Genomic DNA, 16,781 nt, shown 5'->3' on the forward strand with positions numbered 1-16,781 from the left:
GCAATATACCATTACTAATAGCACCTTATTAGATACTTCCTCTTTTTAGTTCCAATATATGTCAGGTTTTTGACAGAATCCTTGTCTATATGTGAAAAGTATGAAGGTTGCAACTATAGTTTTTGTAAATTTATCTTTAACCAGCTTCACTGATTCTTAAAGTCATCCAGGATTTCTGACTCTAAGTGATGTAGAGTGTATTTGCTTATGGAAAATAGAAGAATTAAAATAATAAGGCAAATACTCCTTCCAGTGCCATATCCTCTTTTAAAGAACACAGCTCATTTTCATTGCAGCCCCATTACACTGAACAGGCTTTTCTCTTGCTCTTAATGTGTCAAAATTGTATGACCTATCGCTTCCTTTGAAGATCAAAGGAAATGAAACTCCAGATCTGGGAAAATGGTTTCCCCAATTCCTGTGCTGTTAATGCTCCTATTCATCCATGTATGAAAATCCAGGGAGATAATTGGCTAGCAAAGGCTAGCCAATTAGCTAGCACAAGTCTTCTGGGACAATAGTCAGAATGAGAACAGGTTTTGAGAAACAGTGTAACTTAGGCCTTCCTGCTGGGTTCCCAGTCATAGGACTTCTGTCCCATGGTTGCATCCAGAGTCTCTATGGGGCTGCCCAGAAAGCTGTTTACCTTCTGTTGTAACACCTCCCAAGGCAACCCACTCCATTTTGGGCAGTGCCTATTATTAGAAAGTTCTTCCTTGTAATGAGCCAAAAATCTGTTTCCCTATAACTTTCCCTAATACTGGCTTAAATATAGATTTTTGAGGACTGGCCTAGAAACAAGCCACCAGGTATAACATGGTTTCTCAAAGAAAATACATTTTGAGTTTCAAACAAGTAATGTATAAATAATCCAGAACACAGCCCAGTTCATAAAATGGAGTATGCCCAATAAGGGGCACGGGAGGCCCGTCCCAGGAAAGGAGAAGGGAAAAGGCCAGTGCCCCCAGGGTCAGTCTGTAGAGTCCGTTTCTTCCCACTCTGCGTTTACCCATGTTTCCTGGCTATTGACAATTAGAAACTGCCCAAGAAACCTCGCTGTGGAAATTGGTTCAGGGTACTGGTTTCCTCACAGCTCACTCGTAGGAAGCCCTTAGGCAGTATAAAGAAAACCAGGCTTCTCTTTAGCGTTCACCTACCTAGACGAGAGGGTCAGTGACTGGGTAATATTGGACAGAGGAACTCAGCCCTTGGCCTTGACTGCTGTTACTTACACTGCCGCAAGAGGCAGAATATAATAATGGCCAAGAAAACTGCCTTCGAGTTGGACAGAAATTGATTGGACTCCGGGCTATACCACTTATTTGCTTTGTGACTTTGAGCACGTTGCTGAAAGTCAACAACCGAAAGCCTCAGGTTTTCATCTGCAAAACAGAGATTAAGAATAAATGTGATGAAGCGTATAAGGAGCACGGTACTGCTCAATAAATGTCGTTTATCACACACATACATGGTTAACTCTGTTTCCAGACTGTGCCCTTCGTTCATGAACAGCCAATCAAATCCCCCTCCCAGGCTGTGGGGTGAGCAGATACGATGCGGTTGCCTTATCTCGTGACTCAGCCCATCACTTTTGGTTAGAGCTACTTTGAAAGGCAATTCCACAGTTTCAGAGTGGGTTCTTCTCATATATGTTGCACCTGTGGCCTCTTGTTTCTCTTCTCAGGGCCAAAACCAGAGTACTTAAGTTTCTTAAGCTTTCGTTCTAGAATGTGCTTGGTGGAAAACCAATACTCAAGACACTACAGTTTTCCATGTGTTTGTCAAGCTTTATTGATTCTTCAGATCAGTCCTCCCATAGGTTTGTTCCTGGTGCTAATGATATTGAACATTTCTGGTTCACGTCGACATACACATGAAGATATTTATTTCCCATACTGGCTTTTAAAGTATCAAACTATAGCTTGGAGTGGAACATGCTTTCATTTCTATAGATTTACCTGCTTGAAGGAGGGGAATAATGCATAGCCTTTTATTATTTTTTTTATTATACTTTAAGTTCTAGGGTACATGTGCACAACGTGCAGGTTTGTTACATATGTATACATGTGCCATGTTGGTGTGCTGCACCCATTAACTCGTCATTTACATTAGGTATATCTCCTAATGCTAATGGATAGCCTTTTAAAATAAATGAATTATTGGCCATGCCTATAGATCTTATTTATTTTTAATTATGGCAGCCAAATTCTCAGGGTTGATTCAAGGAAAAATCAGTGCCAGGATGGACGATGCTGGCTTATGAACTCCTCTTATGGAAGAGTTAGGAGTAAAGGGTTGAGGAGAAAGAACCTTCTACAGACAGGCTAAAGAGGACATTAAAGGAAAGCAGTAGTGGAGGGTCAGGGCTTTGAGTAACTGTTCTGCCATTTAGTGGCGATGACCTTGGGCACGTTTCATAGGGTTATTAAGAAGATTGAGCCAGATAAAGCATTAAAGCACTTAGCATAGTACAGGGCACACAGATAGTAAGCACCTCAGTTGTACATTTTTTAAGAGACAGGGAAATCTTACTTAAATGCTGTTCATTATCTTGGCTCCTAACCATCAGCTACAGACCTCATAGAGTTATAGGATATTAGAGCTTCAAATTACTTTTCTATTAGTGGTGATGGATTAGAAGGAACTATTCCCATGCTTTCTCATTTAGTCCCCCTTGTGGCCAAAAGCAGACATTTATGAAGCAATGTGCTGGATTAGAAGCAATTGGCTAAAGCACAGGTTTTTATCTGAGTGCAACTGCCAGGGCCTTACAGTAGTCAGGCCCACCATTTAGCCTCCTTGATGCAGTGCTAGTGAGAATAGACTTTATGCCTCCAAAGCTCATACTTACTTACCTGCCTGCTGTCTTGTATTTGGTCAGTTAGCAAATATTTAACTAAGCCCCTCCTGTGAGCCGGCATTTGTATTGGCCCTGGGGATACACCCATGAATAGGATGAATAGGACAAAAATCCTGCCCTCACAGAACTTAACATTCATTTTGGTAGACAGACAAAGTGAGTAAGGTAAATAGTATACAAAGGTGATAGGTGCAGTGGCGAAAGATAAAGCAGGAGCCCCGTGGGGGAGTGGAATTCTGGTTTCAAATACGGTCATCAGGGAAGGGCTCATGGAGGAGCAGAGACCTGAAATGAGAGATCTTGGAATTCCAGGCAGAAGGAAGAGCAAGTGTGAAATCTCTGAGGCAAGAGCATGCCAAGAGTTTTGAGGGTGAACACAGAGGCCTGTGAGGCTGCAGCAGAGTGAACCAGTGGGGGCTGCAGGTCAAGTAGGACCTTGCAGGCCAGGATAAGAACATTGACTTTCTCTCTGAGAGATGAAATGTTGTGGGAGGATTTTGAGCAAAGTCACGTATTATTGGACTTAGGTTTCAGCAGGATCATCTCAACTGCTGTGTTGAATAGAGAATGGGGGCAAGGGTGGATGCAAGGGGAGATGGAGGCTTGGCCTAGGGTGGTAGTGGTAGAAGTGGTGAAGTGTCCTCTTTGTGCTTTTCCAAAATGTCTGATTTTTAGGGGGGCCAAAAACATATTACTATTACCTTAAAGTTATTTTTTTCATAGTACTCTGTCAATATTAGACATCTGAATTTTCCCTGTACATTGCATTTAGTAGCAGTACCATATATATATATGCAGTGTGGACATATGAGTGTTGAAAGGAAAGCTAATTAAGTCACTAATACCAGTTTTTAAGTTTTTTTTTTCCTTAAATCACCTCAGGAGAAAGTTAGGATCATTGAAAGGAGAATCCTACCTTACTATTTATATGAGAATCTTGCTCTTGAACACTGCATACATGCTTTCTTTTCCAGGTTTTTCCACATTTAATAGTAGGTCCTCTTCTAACATTATGTCTTATTGGCTCCAGTTTCACCTGAAAGGAGGCATGAGTTCTTCAGACCAACCCACCTCATCACACCCCATCAATGCATAGCCACATAAAGCGTGGGAATTCAGTGACTTTTTTGCCATCTGAGTTCTAGCTTCTTCCTGTGTATAAAGTATTTATTAGGACTATGGTTTTGGTTTCAGTATTTTGAAGATGATAATCCTATATATAAATTATGCAAAGAAGATTCTCCCTTTTGAAAATAATGGAACTCCAGGAAAGCCAAATAGGTTCAACATAATTATGAGAAAGAAGTGTGCCACTGTCAGATTGGCATTTATGGAAAAATTGTTACGATTCGTTTTTCCAGATTCATTCCCATCCAAAATTCACGAGGACACAGCCAATAAAAGGGAGCTGAATTTGAAGAAGAGCTCGTCACTAAGATTCATTCTGTATTTATTGAGCTGATTCTGTTTGATGGATATTAGGACAGAATATTTGAACAGCATGTTGTCTTGGAAAATCAGGTACGAGGTATGGCTGAGGCTTTGGTGGATATAAAGGAGGAAAGGATTTATTCCTTCCCCACATGACTCTTAAAATCTTGATGTATTAATACAATTAATACAGGGCAGAACAAATGTGTAGTCAGTACAAACATTCTGTCAACACACATTAATATGTGGCTCTTGTTTATAAGCTTATTCTGACATGATCTTTTTAAAAAGTATCTTATTAGTGTAGAATTTGATCCGTCTTTTCACAGTGCTGGTTACCTGAGGAATGGAAGCAAGGGAAGGGGTTTCTTGCCGTAACTCTTCTTTCACTGGTGGTTGGCTATCTGCTAATGGCGCTAAGACTGTTAGTGCTCCTGGCACTCACACGGCCTTAGTGTGTATTCAACTGTGCCAAAAGATAAAGGAGGTGGGGCATACAGGGAATCCCCCAAACATTAAGCTTCTGTCACTTTAGCCACTACAGCTGGTGCAGATTTCTAAGTACATAAATCTCCTGGTAAGTGGCTTTGCTGGCCCCAATTCCTAATAGGCATTTACCTATATGATGTCTATTTATATATCTGGGTCATCATGAAACCAGAGGTATGAGCTATATTCATATAGTCTTAACCTCTGGTTTGCTTGCTTCTTCCTTTCACATGCTCTTGGACTCTCAAAGTTGAAATAAGACCTTCACTATTAGTATAGATCAAAAACCTAAGTCCTGTTTTAAACATTTGCTAGGAGAACTCAACAATGCTTATAAAGAAAAAATAATGCCAAGAGGCTCAGAATAAGCTACCCTTAACATTCTTCTCTGATGTAATAGAACATTTCTCAATGTACGGATATGTGTGCAGTTAAATTCTTTCTTTTCTTTTTGCTTCTGGGCCTTTTTGGGGAATTTAGTTTTTAAGGGAGAAGAAACCTAAGTCTGTAAGCTTTTAGGGTAATATAAAAGAAATGAGAAACCAATTCAATAGGGCTGACCATTTTTTTCTCTTTTCCCAGTGTGATATACAGAGTACCTAATAACATGTTCAGGAATTTTCTGTGACTCTATTTGTTGAATAATGGAATTAAGTATAAGGTAGAGCTGTGTGGGCCTCATTTGAAGGAGTTTAGTTATTCAAGTAGTAAAAGGCTCTCTTAACAAGGTGGCATTTATTATTATTTTAGCAGCTGTATAGCCCTGATTTTCTGTGACAGGCCAATTTCAAAGATCTTTACCGTGTTCAGATTCTGTTTTTAATTCTGAAAATACTGTCACCATATGGGTCCATTTTTACCACTTCATGGGCCCACAGGACATTAGAGAGTATTCAGTCTCTAGCCAGCCACCTCCTTGAGCCACCCTCCAGCTAAACTCCCCAGGATGAGTACAGAGCCCAGCAGGTGCAGCCCCTTGGTGAATGCTGTTGACCAGTCTTTGGCATCTGAGCTAACAGTTGAATTTGATATTTGCCCCTCTGAGGACCACTGGGCAATTCAAAGAAACAAGTAACTCTAGCACTGGAAGGGCCCTGGGGCTAGTCCTGCCACTTTGTAGATGATGAACTAAGACACAGATATGCAACATGACTGGTGTAAGCTAGTGGTTGCAACTTAGAGAAGGAAGTATTGTTTGCTGGACTTACAGCATGCCTGGAGCCATTTCCTATGAAATGATTAGTTGTTTCACTACACATATGAAGAGACTGTAATAGACCCACAGTCAAAGCTAGAATTTCTGACTTTTCATAGTGCTATTCAAAGCCATTTTCATATTTTCAAAAGCATCTGTGATTTGTTATACCTTGTTAGACAATCTGCATTTTAGACTCTGGCTATCTGATCCCTGATAAAATCCAAATAGAAGCTAGAGTTTGTGACAAATCACTCTAGCTTCATGACCTAGCTCCTGAAACTTGAAGTCTATGAATTGGATCTAGGATGTAATAATATTAAAATACAAAATGTAATCTCAGTGGGCTGTACTGGGTACAAAAATAAAGAGTACCCTGTCTGGTCATTAGTGTATGCAGGATCAATGAATTGTGCTGGTGTTTTGTTTCCCATAAGTCTTTTTTTAAAAAAATAAGATCTTGCTCTGTCACCCAGGCTGGAGTGTGGTGGTACAATCTTAGCTCACTGCAGCCTCGACCTCCTGGGCTCAGGTGATCCTCCCACCTCAGCCTCCCAAGTAGCTGGGACTACAGGCATGTGCTGACACACCTGGCTAATTTTTTTTTTTTTTTAGAGATGGGGTCTCACTATGTTGCCCAGGCTGGTCTTGAACTCCTGGCCTCAAGTGATCCTCCCGCCTTGGCCTCCCAAAGTGCTGGGATTATAGGCACAAGCCACTGTGCTTGGCCTTGTTTCCAATAAATCTTTAAAGGAGAAAATGTCTCTTTCTTCCATGTCCTACTTCTCATATTGGCAGCCACCTTTATAGACTTGTCCACTCTGTTTTGCGTCTCTTTGCTGTCCCCTGTCTTCCAGCATTGTCCTCTCATGTTCTAGTGACAGTCTTCCTCAAGCCTTAGTCCTTGAACTTCCCACCATCTTCTGCTTCTGTTTCCCAAGATTCGTTGTTCCCGCTTAGCTGTCACTTCTGGCCTCAGCCCTCACCTGCAGCTCTGACTTACTCCTAAATTCAAGCCCCACATTCACAACTGCCTTCTGAACATGTTGCCTCTGTGACCTTTGGTCACCCCAAACCCAATAGAAAACAGAGCCTGGACCAGACGGTCTCTGGATTTCTTATTGGTTCTCAGATTCAATTTTAACAAGTCAGCACTTAAGATTATCTCACTCCTCTCCCGCTTCTTAACTTCCCTGTCTCCTTTTAATGATACCACCAACCTGTCAGCCATATAACATGTATTATCTTCCATACACACACACACACACACACACACACACACACACACACCCACAGACGTACACATGTATACATGTACACGAGACAAAAATGGAGTAAAAAGGTTGAATTGGTCAAAATACTTGCCTAGAGAGAGTTCAAAGCACATGTCTTGATAACAGTGGGATCTTCTTATAAAAAGTAAAGCTTTTGTTATGCTAGTGAGCTTATAAATTTTTGCGTGTCTGTGTAAAACTACAAACGCATGTCCTGCTGGGCATTCTTCCTACCCTTTCTTACCCAGGAGCCTCTCGCCACCTGGGAAAGCTGACAGAACAGTGGGCTTCAGGTCCAGAAATGAGCCAACTTTCCTACCCCTGCTGCTGGTGGTTTATCAGATACAGGGAGAATCTTAGAAACTCTCTTTTGTTTGCTTAAAGGCACAGCTATAAATATATTTCAGCGTGACTGAGTGTGTCAAGTTTGAGATTCTGATTTGTTGTATCAGAATGTTAGAGCTGGGAGGGAAGCACTGGCAATCAGGTTTCTCTACTTCCTGATTTTATTGAAGAGTGAGCTGAGGCCCAGAAATATCAGGTGATCTGCCCAAAGTCACACAGCTCATTAATGACAAAACTACAACTGAAGCCCTGGTCTTCTAAACCCCAGCCAAGAGCTCTAACATTTTTAATTCTAATTTTTTTTTTTTTTTGAGATGGAGGTCTTGCTATGCTGCCAAGTCTGGCCTCGAACTCCTGGGCTCAAGTGATCCTCCTGTCTCAGTCTCCTGAGCAGCTGGGATTACAGGCGTGAGCCACCACATTCAGCTAACATTCTTTTTTTCTTTTTCTTTTTCTTTTTTTTTTTTTTTTTTTTTGAGACAGAGTAAAGCTCTGTCACCCAGGCTGGAGTACAGTGGCATGATCTTGGCTCACTGCAACCTCTGCCCTGTGGGTTCAAGTGATTCTCCCGCCTCAGCCTCCCAAGTAGCTGGGATTACAGGCACGCACCACCACAGCCGGCTAATTTTTGTATTTTTAGTAGAGATGGGGTTTCACCATGTTGGCCAGGCTGGTCTCGAACTCCTGGCCTCAAGTGATCCGCCCACCTCTGCCTCTGCCTTCCAAAGTGCTAGGATTACAGGCATGAGTCACCACGTCTGGCCCCAGCTAATGTTCTTTTAAATATATTGAGTCCCTTTCTGCCACTCATCTGGAATGGGTTCTCAAGCCCAGTGAGGAATCCCAATAAATTCTGGTTCTTAGTCTATTTTAAAAACACTAAGTATACATACAATTTGTAATAAAATTTTAAGTTATAAATATAATGGATGCACACTGTTACTTCTTAAAATAAGACCATAACATTATACAAGCTGCTGGTTTCTTTGCTTTTCTGGTCACTTTCTCCACCTCTACCTAATCAGGTCCCAACATTGTGCAAAGACTTCTCCTCCTCTTTGTCCCCTTGGCACACACACTCACATAAGAATCAGCTAAGAGAATAGTTTGTCAGGTACTTTTCCTCTTAAAACCTAACATCTGAGGAACGTGGATTTTAATTATTGATGATGTGTGTGGAGTTTCAGTGTCACGCATTTTCTTCTGAGTTACAGAATCCTCTGGGGGATATTTCACAATACCTTTGTGTGTAGTTGCTATGAAGGAATTAACCTGTAAACCTCTGGGATGATTGAATTGTGGGTCAACTAAAATGCAATCTAGCTAAGACTTCTGCCTACGATCTCGCCTGTGTGTTTCTTTTTGTTGGTTTTTAGATACAGTGCTTTCTATTCCATATGGCTATTTAGTAAGCAGTCTCTTTTTGATAGCTTGTACCTCTGTGATTCAATTTCTGTTGTCTTTTTTTTCTTTAATTGAATGATATAGTAAATATGAACTTGTGCCATCATTAGAATAATGTGCATATATTCACATAGAAGGTGGGGCTTATGAACCTTGTATTAAGGATTTAGTGAGAGGAAATAAGGACTTTGCCCTCTCAGACCTGGCACAGCAGCTGCAGCAGTTTCATCATAAGGTCTGTGGTCTGCACGCACAAAACAGCGTGGGCTCAAGTAAAATGCCTCTGGACAGGTGAGAAGGATGGAAGCCTCTATTTCTGGCACCTCTCTGAAGATCAGGATGCTACAAGATCCACAGAGAGACTTATCAGTATTAGCCAGGTTGACCTGGCAAGAGCAAGGGGAATTGTTTATGTTGGCTACTCGTTCCCCTAATGGCCATTTTAGGATGAAAATAAACCTTAGTAAGTCTGTTTCAGAGCATTTTGGATACCCCTTGGCATATTGCCAAACCTATCTGTAAGTTTTCTTTGAGTATAATTTTAAAGTAATATGTATCATCACACAGAAGCCTTTTCAGTTCTGATCTAACTTTTCTGATGCCATGATTATAGCTTTACTCTGTCTCATCACCAAGCCTAAATTAATAGTAGCTAGTGGTACTTTGCTACCCATAAAATTTGAGCTGTGTTGTAAGCACACAGAAAATGAGATGCCAGGAATAAGCAAGAAAGGGAGAGCCTCAGCCTGGTTACTTCTGATGGAAGGCTGGGCCTGCCATCCTGGCTTGTGGTTGATTTGGGAGCATATAAGGTGGTGCTGGTCCTTCACCAGGCCAGTCATGTAGTTTATCCACGGTCTCCTATCTCTCTCCTCCCCGAACCACAGCGTTGGCTGCTTGCTGGTCAATTCTTCTGAGAAAGAAGCAAAACCTCCATGAGAAAGGTAACATATGCTGATGATTGATTTAGGGATTTGAGGTCTCTGAGGAGCTCAGACACACAATTGCTTTGGTGAACTCCGAACTTACTCATTGCACCTCACAGCAGGAGAGAGATGTTTTAAAAAAAAAAGTCCCTTGCTTTTCAGTTCGAAAGTCATGTTTGAGACATGACTTTCCTGTGGGTGCTTGCAAAAGTACATGTGTGGAGTGAATGTGTGTTGATGAGAGCCAAGAAAAAATTTATACATATGATAGTGGCTTTTGTCTTGGGCTTATCTTTGTATGGTTTTTATCCTTAGTGAGAAACATTTTTATAGCAAGAAGAATGTGATAAAATGCCAGTTAGAGTGTTTTATGGATCTTTAGCCCTTTGCTTGTAGGTGAGTTTTTTCCTTCAACTACCTGGCAATTTCTTTGAACACCCGCCGCACGTCCACCACCAACCACTACTACCACCACATATGGTCTTAGTCACCTAAGGGTATGCCGCAGCCTAACCATTTTCTCCCTTGTCTGTTTAATCTTTTCTTCTTTGTCTTTAGCCTTGTTATTTCCCCAGATTACTGGCCCTTTCTGGTCCAGAGTGGCATTCTTATCATTTCTGATAGTTCTTCACAGAGGTTCAGAGGGTATAGCAAATAGATGGCTAACATGAAACTTCTTCTCCTTTCTTAACTCTACAATTGGTTGCTTATTCATTTGTTAAATGGACAGGTACAGAACATTGACTGTGTGCAAGGTACACAGCTCCCACCCTCAAGAGGTTGTGCTCCTGGATATGCACAGGAGGATGGGTAGGGTACAGAAGGACCATGGTATACTGCAGAGTGACTTTGAGGAGGCTGAGAGGAGTGAGTACAGTGTGTACCATAAGAATTTAGGATATAGAGTGATAGGATGGATAGGTAAGAAGATAGGATGGATAGAATTCTAGGTAAGAGGATCATCATGAACAAAGGTTGGGAACTGCCCAGAGAATAGCTGTTTTCCTGGAACCATATAGAGTGGAGTTCAAGCTTCTGAACAGAGCTGGTTCATCAGGAGTGTTTGAGTATGACAATAGCAATATTGGAGAAGGCCTTCCTCTTCTGGTTATTCTTAGATTCCTAGCACATGAGTGCTGGAAGGGGCGTGTCTAACCCAGTTTCCACGTTATTGAGAGGAACATGAGTCCCTCTAAGGCTTAACCTTGACTTGGTCAAGGTTAGAATGTTGGATGTTTTCTCTCCCATGCAATATGGTGTTCATAGTATTGTGTTTGTTTGCACCCACTGGCAAACTTATAAAGACCACCAAGGTCTTTATAAGGAGTCTTTCTCTGAGAAGTCATTATACAAAAAAGAAACACGTTTATAGCAGCACGATTCGCAATTGCAAAAATATAGAACCAGTCCAAATGCCCATCAATCAATGAGTGGATAAAGAAAATGTGGTGTATACACACACACACACACACACACACACACAGACACACACACACACACACCATGGAATGCTACTAAGCCATAAAAAGGAATGAAGTAATGGCATTTGCAGCAACCTGGATGGAATTGGAGACCATTATTCTAAGTGAAGTAACTCAGAAATGGAAAACCAAACATCGTATGTTCTCACTCATAAGTGGGAGCTAATCTGTGAGAATGCAAAAAGCATAGGAATGATACAATGCACTTTGGGGACTGGGGAGAAAGGATGGGAGCAGGATGAGTGATAAAAGACTACACATTGGGTACAGTGTACACTGCTCAGGTGATGAGTGCACCAAAATCTCAGAAATCACCGCTAAAGAATTTATTCATCTAACCAAACACCACTTGTTCCCCAAAAACCTATTGAAATTAAAAAGTCTTTTTCTGAAAATGGAGTATTTGTGTAATTTACATTTTATGACCATTTTAACAAACTGGTATAGGTTTTGCACTTACATGAGGAGAGGGTTCATATACAAAGCAATGATTGCATTAGGATAAATTATGTTATGAAAGAAAAGGCATTAAAATGATCTTGGTACTGTTTGCCTTAAAATCAGGATTTGTGTTAACTTTGACATACTGCATGTAAGATTTGTTCTGGTAGTAACTGAACTTCATGAAATCACTGGTCACAGAAATGTAAGTTATCAGACTCTCATACTTGATTAGCAGTATACATTTTCATTAAAGCAATCACATTCCAATAAGGACCAGCAATAGCAGTTCACGGAATGCAGCTGCTCAGTTTGTATTTGAAGTGTTCGTGTATCTTTGGGAGCAATACCATGAAGTCACAAGTTTCCGAATGAGGCATATATTCAGCCTAAACACCGACTAGCTTAACTGAATTTTTGCTTTTGTTCAATACATTTACATTGTGATGTTTACAGCTTAGGCTGATAATGCTACAGTGGAAAGTATGGGGGAAATTTCTCTTTGGTCCCATTTTAAATCACCTCGCAGTATTTACCAGATGTAGAAGTTGTGTACGTATGTGGTATCTGATAAGCTCTGTTTTATAAAATACAGGTTCTAAGACCCAGAGAAATGAAAAAAATATATTTTTTTTCTCAATGGAATAGTAAGCATTTACTCTGTGCCTGGCACTGTGCTAGGCATTAGTAAAAGATGGCACAGGCACTGTCCTTTTCTACATAGTGTCCATTGCATTTTTACCCCTAATGACTTGACAGTTGATTCTTAAAATTTGATTTTAGCAGGTAAAAGGCATTTTATGTTTCCGTGTTGGGGAGTATGGCAGAAGAGGCTGCTCAAGGAAAGTACTTTTTTAAACAACCACCGGGTGTCAGCAGAGGACTTAGAACTCTTGGCAACATCTGTGTTCTTGGTTTTCTTGGATTTAATTTGCTAGGCCATCTCCATTGGAATTTTTGAAAGGCAGTCAACCTCCACGGGGCCACTTTCTCCCAAATATTAGTGTCAAACACTTTCACCGCAACACTGCATCACGATTGTTTATCTTTGCCTAATAAAACTAGCACTAGTTCCTCAATCTTTTTCTGATTTAAAACCTTTAATTCTGTCTTTCATGGTGAAGGTTCTACAAAGTAGACAGGCTGCCAGGGTGGGGAAGTGTCACCAAACTCTAGTTGTTTTTACTGACCTCTCCCCCCATACAGGTAAAGCTCACACTTACCTTATGCAGTGAAAAGTACAGGGACCATTCTTCGTCCTGCACACACACACAAAAATCTGATAATGGAGCTTGATGGTTCCAAATTACAGAAAGTATTTTCAGAGTATAAAGGAGAGAGGTCTAAGCATCTTCACTGGCCCAGCCATTTGGTTCATGGTATAGCATATATTTGGTGGTGGTCACAGATATTAGGAACTGTGTATTGATTGACAAGGGAAACCTTGGCAAGGTGGGTATGGATTTGTATCATGCCAATTCTCTCCAGTTTTCTCACCTTGACTCCTCACTTGAGTGAGCAAACTAGACAGGGATCCAAGGCATTTGGTATGAGACATTAGGCTCTAGGGTGGGGCCAAACTGGAGATGGTCTTTCTTGGACACCCAGGTTTCTTTCAAGCTTCATGCGGTATCAGAAGTGGTAGCAGTTACAAGGCTGTCAGTTTGAGTTGCTAAGCTATTGGTGACCTGAAAGACCAGCTTGGGAGATGGTTAGAGACATAAAGCAACCCCAGTGGCTTTAGCAGCTAAAGCTGCCAGGGCGTGTGGCCTGCAGGGGGTGGGGTGTTAGGCATAGTATGCACCCTGGAATCTATCCCATAAAGTAAAGGCCTGATTGATGCAGGGTTCTAGTTTAGACATGCTATAGGGATTTCCTTTGGACTGATCAGTGGGATTTGGCAAATCGCATTACAGCTAATTCCAGGAACTATGCAGATTCTTCTGTTGTTTTATATTGAATAAAATATTAAGACAACACATCAATAGGGATTCAAAAATATTTGGAATATTTTGTTTTTGTGGAAATTTCTGCAATAATAGTCAAAGGGAATCACTGTGTTCCTGAAAACATTGTGCAGGATGTCCATAAAATATACTGTGTACACACATGCCATCAAAGAGGGCAGCTGTCATTCTTCATGGGGTTATACCCAGCTTGGTGTCAGGCAGCAGCTGGGGGAAGGCTCTCAGACCTGTCGTATGATGTGCTTTGTAAACTGCTTTTTAAAAAAGAAGTTCTTTATTGTTGGCTTGACTTCTAATTAACACAATAATTGCATATGGGATTGTGTAAGGGGCACGTTTATTGGGGAAAATAAATGAAGTGTCTTTATGATGATTTTAGTTAACACTCTCTGACATTTCTCGTTGCTCAGGGAATCCTACAGCAAGTACCGTCTTATTCACGGAAACTTGAGTCTTCAAATTTGGCCACATTGCTCTGTGCTGATTCTCACCTCTCTTGGCAATAGCTTCACACTCTCCTCTCCCTCTTTCAGATCACTGGGGTGATCCTGCTGGCTGTTGGAGTCTGGGGCAAACTTACTCTGGGCACCTATATCTCCCTTATTGCCGAGAACTCCACAAATGCTCCCTATGTGCTCATCGGAACTGGCACCACTATTGTTGTCTTTGGCCTGTTTGGATGCTTTGCTACATGTCGTGGTAGCCCATGGATGCTGAAACTGGTGAGTATGTCACAACATAATACTGCTTTCTCAACTATATTTTTGTAAAAATATAAATTACATGGAGGTGAAGTGGTTCGTCTTGAGGTCACAGACAAGACCTTAACAATTTCAGTCCAGACTCTTTCCTAATCCATCCTTTAATCCCCTAGAGGTAAAAACAACCCCAAACACAGCCTGGCACACTAAATCTAGTCCCAGTCCCTCTGGGTAGATGATGACAAAGCAGTGGCCAGTGATTGCAGTAGTCCATTTGTATCCTCATGACAAGATGCCCTGTTTCTTTTCTTTTTTTTTTTTTTCTTTTGAGATGGAGTCTCGCTCTGTTGCCCAGGCTGGAGTTCAATGGCGCAATCTCTGCTCACTGCAAGCTCCACCCCCTGGGTTCATGCCATTCTCCTGCCTCAGCCTCCCAAGTAGCTGGGACTACAGGCGCCCGCCACCACGCCCAGCTAATTTTTTTTGTATTTTTAGTAGAGACGGGGTTTCACCATGTTGGCCAGGATGGTCTTGATCTCCTGACCTCGTGATCCACCTGCCTCGGCCTCCCAAAGTGCTGGGATTACAGGCTTGAGCCATCGTGCCCGGCCTCGCCCTGTTTCAATTTTGAACTATATCTTAGAAGTCTCCTTAAGCATGTGATATGCAGCTTTGGTGGCAAGGCAGCATCCTGAACATAAGCAGACTTTCACCTCCAAGTTCCTATTGGAGAAATACTTTCCACCTCCTTGAGCCTGGCCATGCATGGATGCATGTGTGTGGTCTTCTCTGAACCTGTACTCCCTGTCTCAGTGCTATGAGAGTTGAGCTAAGCCAGAGCCTGCCACCCAGAGGACTTATGCAGTGTCAAGTGTTGGCTACCAGGACCAGTGCAGGGTGCATACTCTCATGGGACAGATAAAGCAGTGATGCTTCCCAGATGATAAGGGCAGACTATTGAAAGGCTATTACTGTGATTTTTAACTTTTAGGTACAGCAGTTAACTAATTCTCTATTCACTGTTCATGTTCTTCACTGATGGGGATTAATGGTAAAGGATTTTATAGATAAAAATTAGCAAGGACCTGTCCTCAAAATAAAATTTTGTTTAAAAATATTTATTTCAGGCATCTTACTCCGTGAAGGGAGAAGCAAAGATTCCATCAGGGCCATGTTGCCTGTCCCTGTGTAGCCCTAGGTTGTAGTAACATTTAATACCATCTAGTGATATATGTGGGTGTGAGAGTGGTTCATTCCAAAGGAACCATCTTCCCAACTGGCACTGGGCAGTCAGTCTCTGTTGTCAACCTCATAGAAGTGGTGCTTGACTTTGCCATTTTCTATCCTGCAGACCATACAGGAGGCTGATGCCTCAGCCGCCACTGATTCTTCAGGTTGATGGGCAAGCCATAATGAGGCCCATCCTGATTATGGGCCAGGCTTCTGCTGCTGTCACCTGGCACTCTATTCTAACACCCTGAGTCTACCTTCTAGTACTTCTCATAAACACTAGGGTTTCTTTTGGTCTAGTGCCATAGTCCTCAACTCCAGATACATGATTAAATCACCTGGGAAGCCATTTGCAAAAACCTTTGCCAGCATCCCACCACTAGCTGGTTGAAGTAGACTCCTCAGTGGTGGTGAGGCCCTGGCATCTTATTTTCTAAAAAGCTCTCCAGAGGATTCAATCTTGTAGCCAGTATTGAGAACCTTTTGTTTAGCACAATGAGTAGCAAGGGGAGAATTAACTTCAAAAGCAGAGAAAAGAAAAAATTCTAAAAAACCATCCATTCAAACAAGAAGGGAAGTGATGTGGTGTTGAGACCTGACTGATTCCAACTAACTGTTTAAAGTCTTTAGCGGCAAGGATGTAACCTCCTTGGACCTTTGTCTCCAATTGTAACAAAATAGAATTGGACTAAATCACCAAAGTTTCTCCCGGCCCAAATACTATGACTGGAGAGGGGTGGGAGAGGTGATATTTTTATGTTCTAATTCTCAATTTGCTTGTGGGGCAGAAGTATCCCATAGCTGAGTATAATGTCATAAAATAGGATATGTGTATAAACAATGGAATAGTTAGTTCTGGCCTCTTCTGGAGGTGGCTTCACACCACACTACCATTTTCTTCTCCTAACACAAGTTCACTGGCAGGTGAGCATTTTGGGAAGTAGAGAAGTTTTTTGGTTTGGGGCTTAATTTGGGTCTTTAAAAATGTCTTTTAGATCAAATTTTAGATTCTACATATGTGTAAGATCAGGCAGTTA

At 41.5% G+C, this 16,781-nt stretch overlaps 1 protein-coding gene across 1 annotated transcript in view, besides 1 other annotated feature; it reads left to right on the forward strand.

Annotated features, from left to right (window-relative positions):
• Nucleotides 1–16,781, forward strand: part of TSPAN7 (tetraspanin 7) — a 127,377-nt gene that overhangs the window by 90,233 nt on the left and 20,363 nt on the right. Inside the window, exon 2 of the mRNA NM_004615.4 lies at nucleotides 14,347–14,535. Within this exon, the coding sequence (NP_004606.2) occupies nucleotides 14,347–14,535 (189 nt within the window). The remainder of the gene's footprint in view (nucleotides 1–14,346; nucleotides 14,536–16,781) is intronic.
• Nucleotides 5,972–6,021: a silencer, noted in NCBI's record as "silent region_20736". NCBI's record gives its function as "represses an Ori minimal core promoter by ATAC-STARR-seq in GM12878 lymphoblastoid cells {active_cell/tissue: GM12878}" and the evidence as "EXISTENCE:reporter gene assay evidence [ECO:0000049][PMID:35858748]".

The sequence above is a fragment of the Homo sapiens genome, chromosome X, assembly GCF_000001405.40.
Source record: "Homo sapiens chromosome X, GRCh38.p14 Primary Assembly".
NCBI classification, from domain to species: Eukaryota; Metazoa; Chordata; class Mammalia; order Primates; family Hominidae; genus Homo; species Homo sapiens.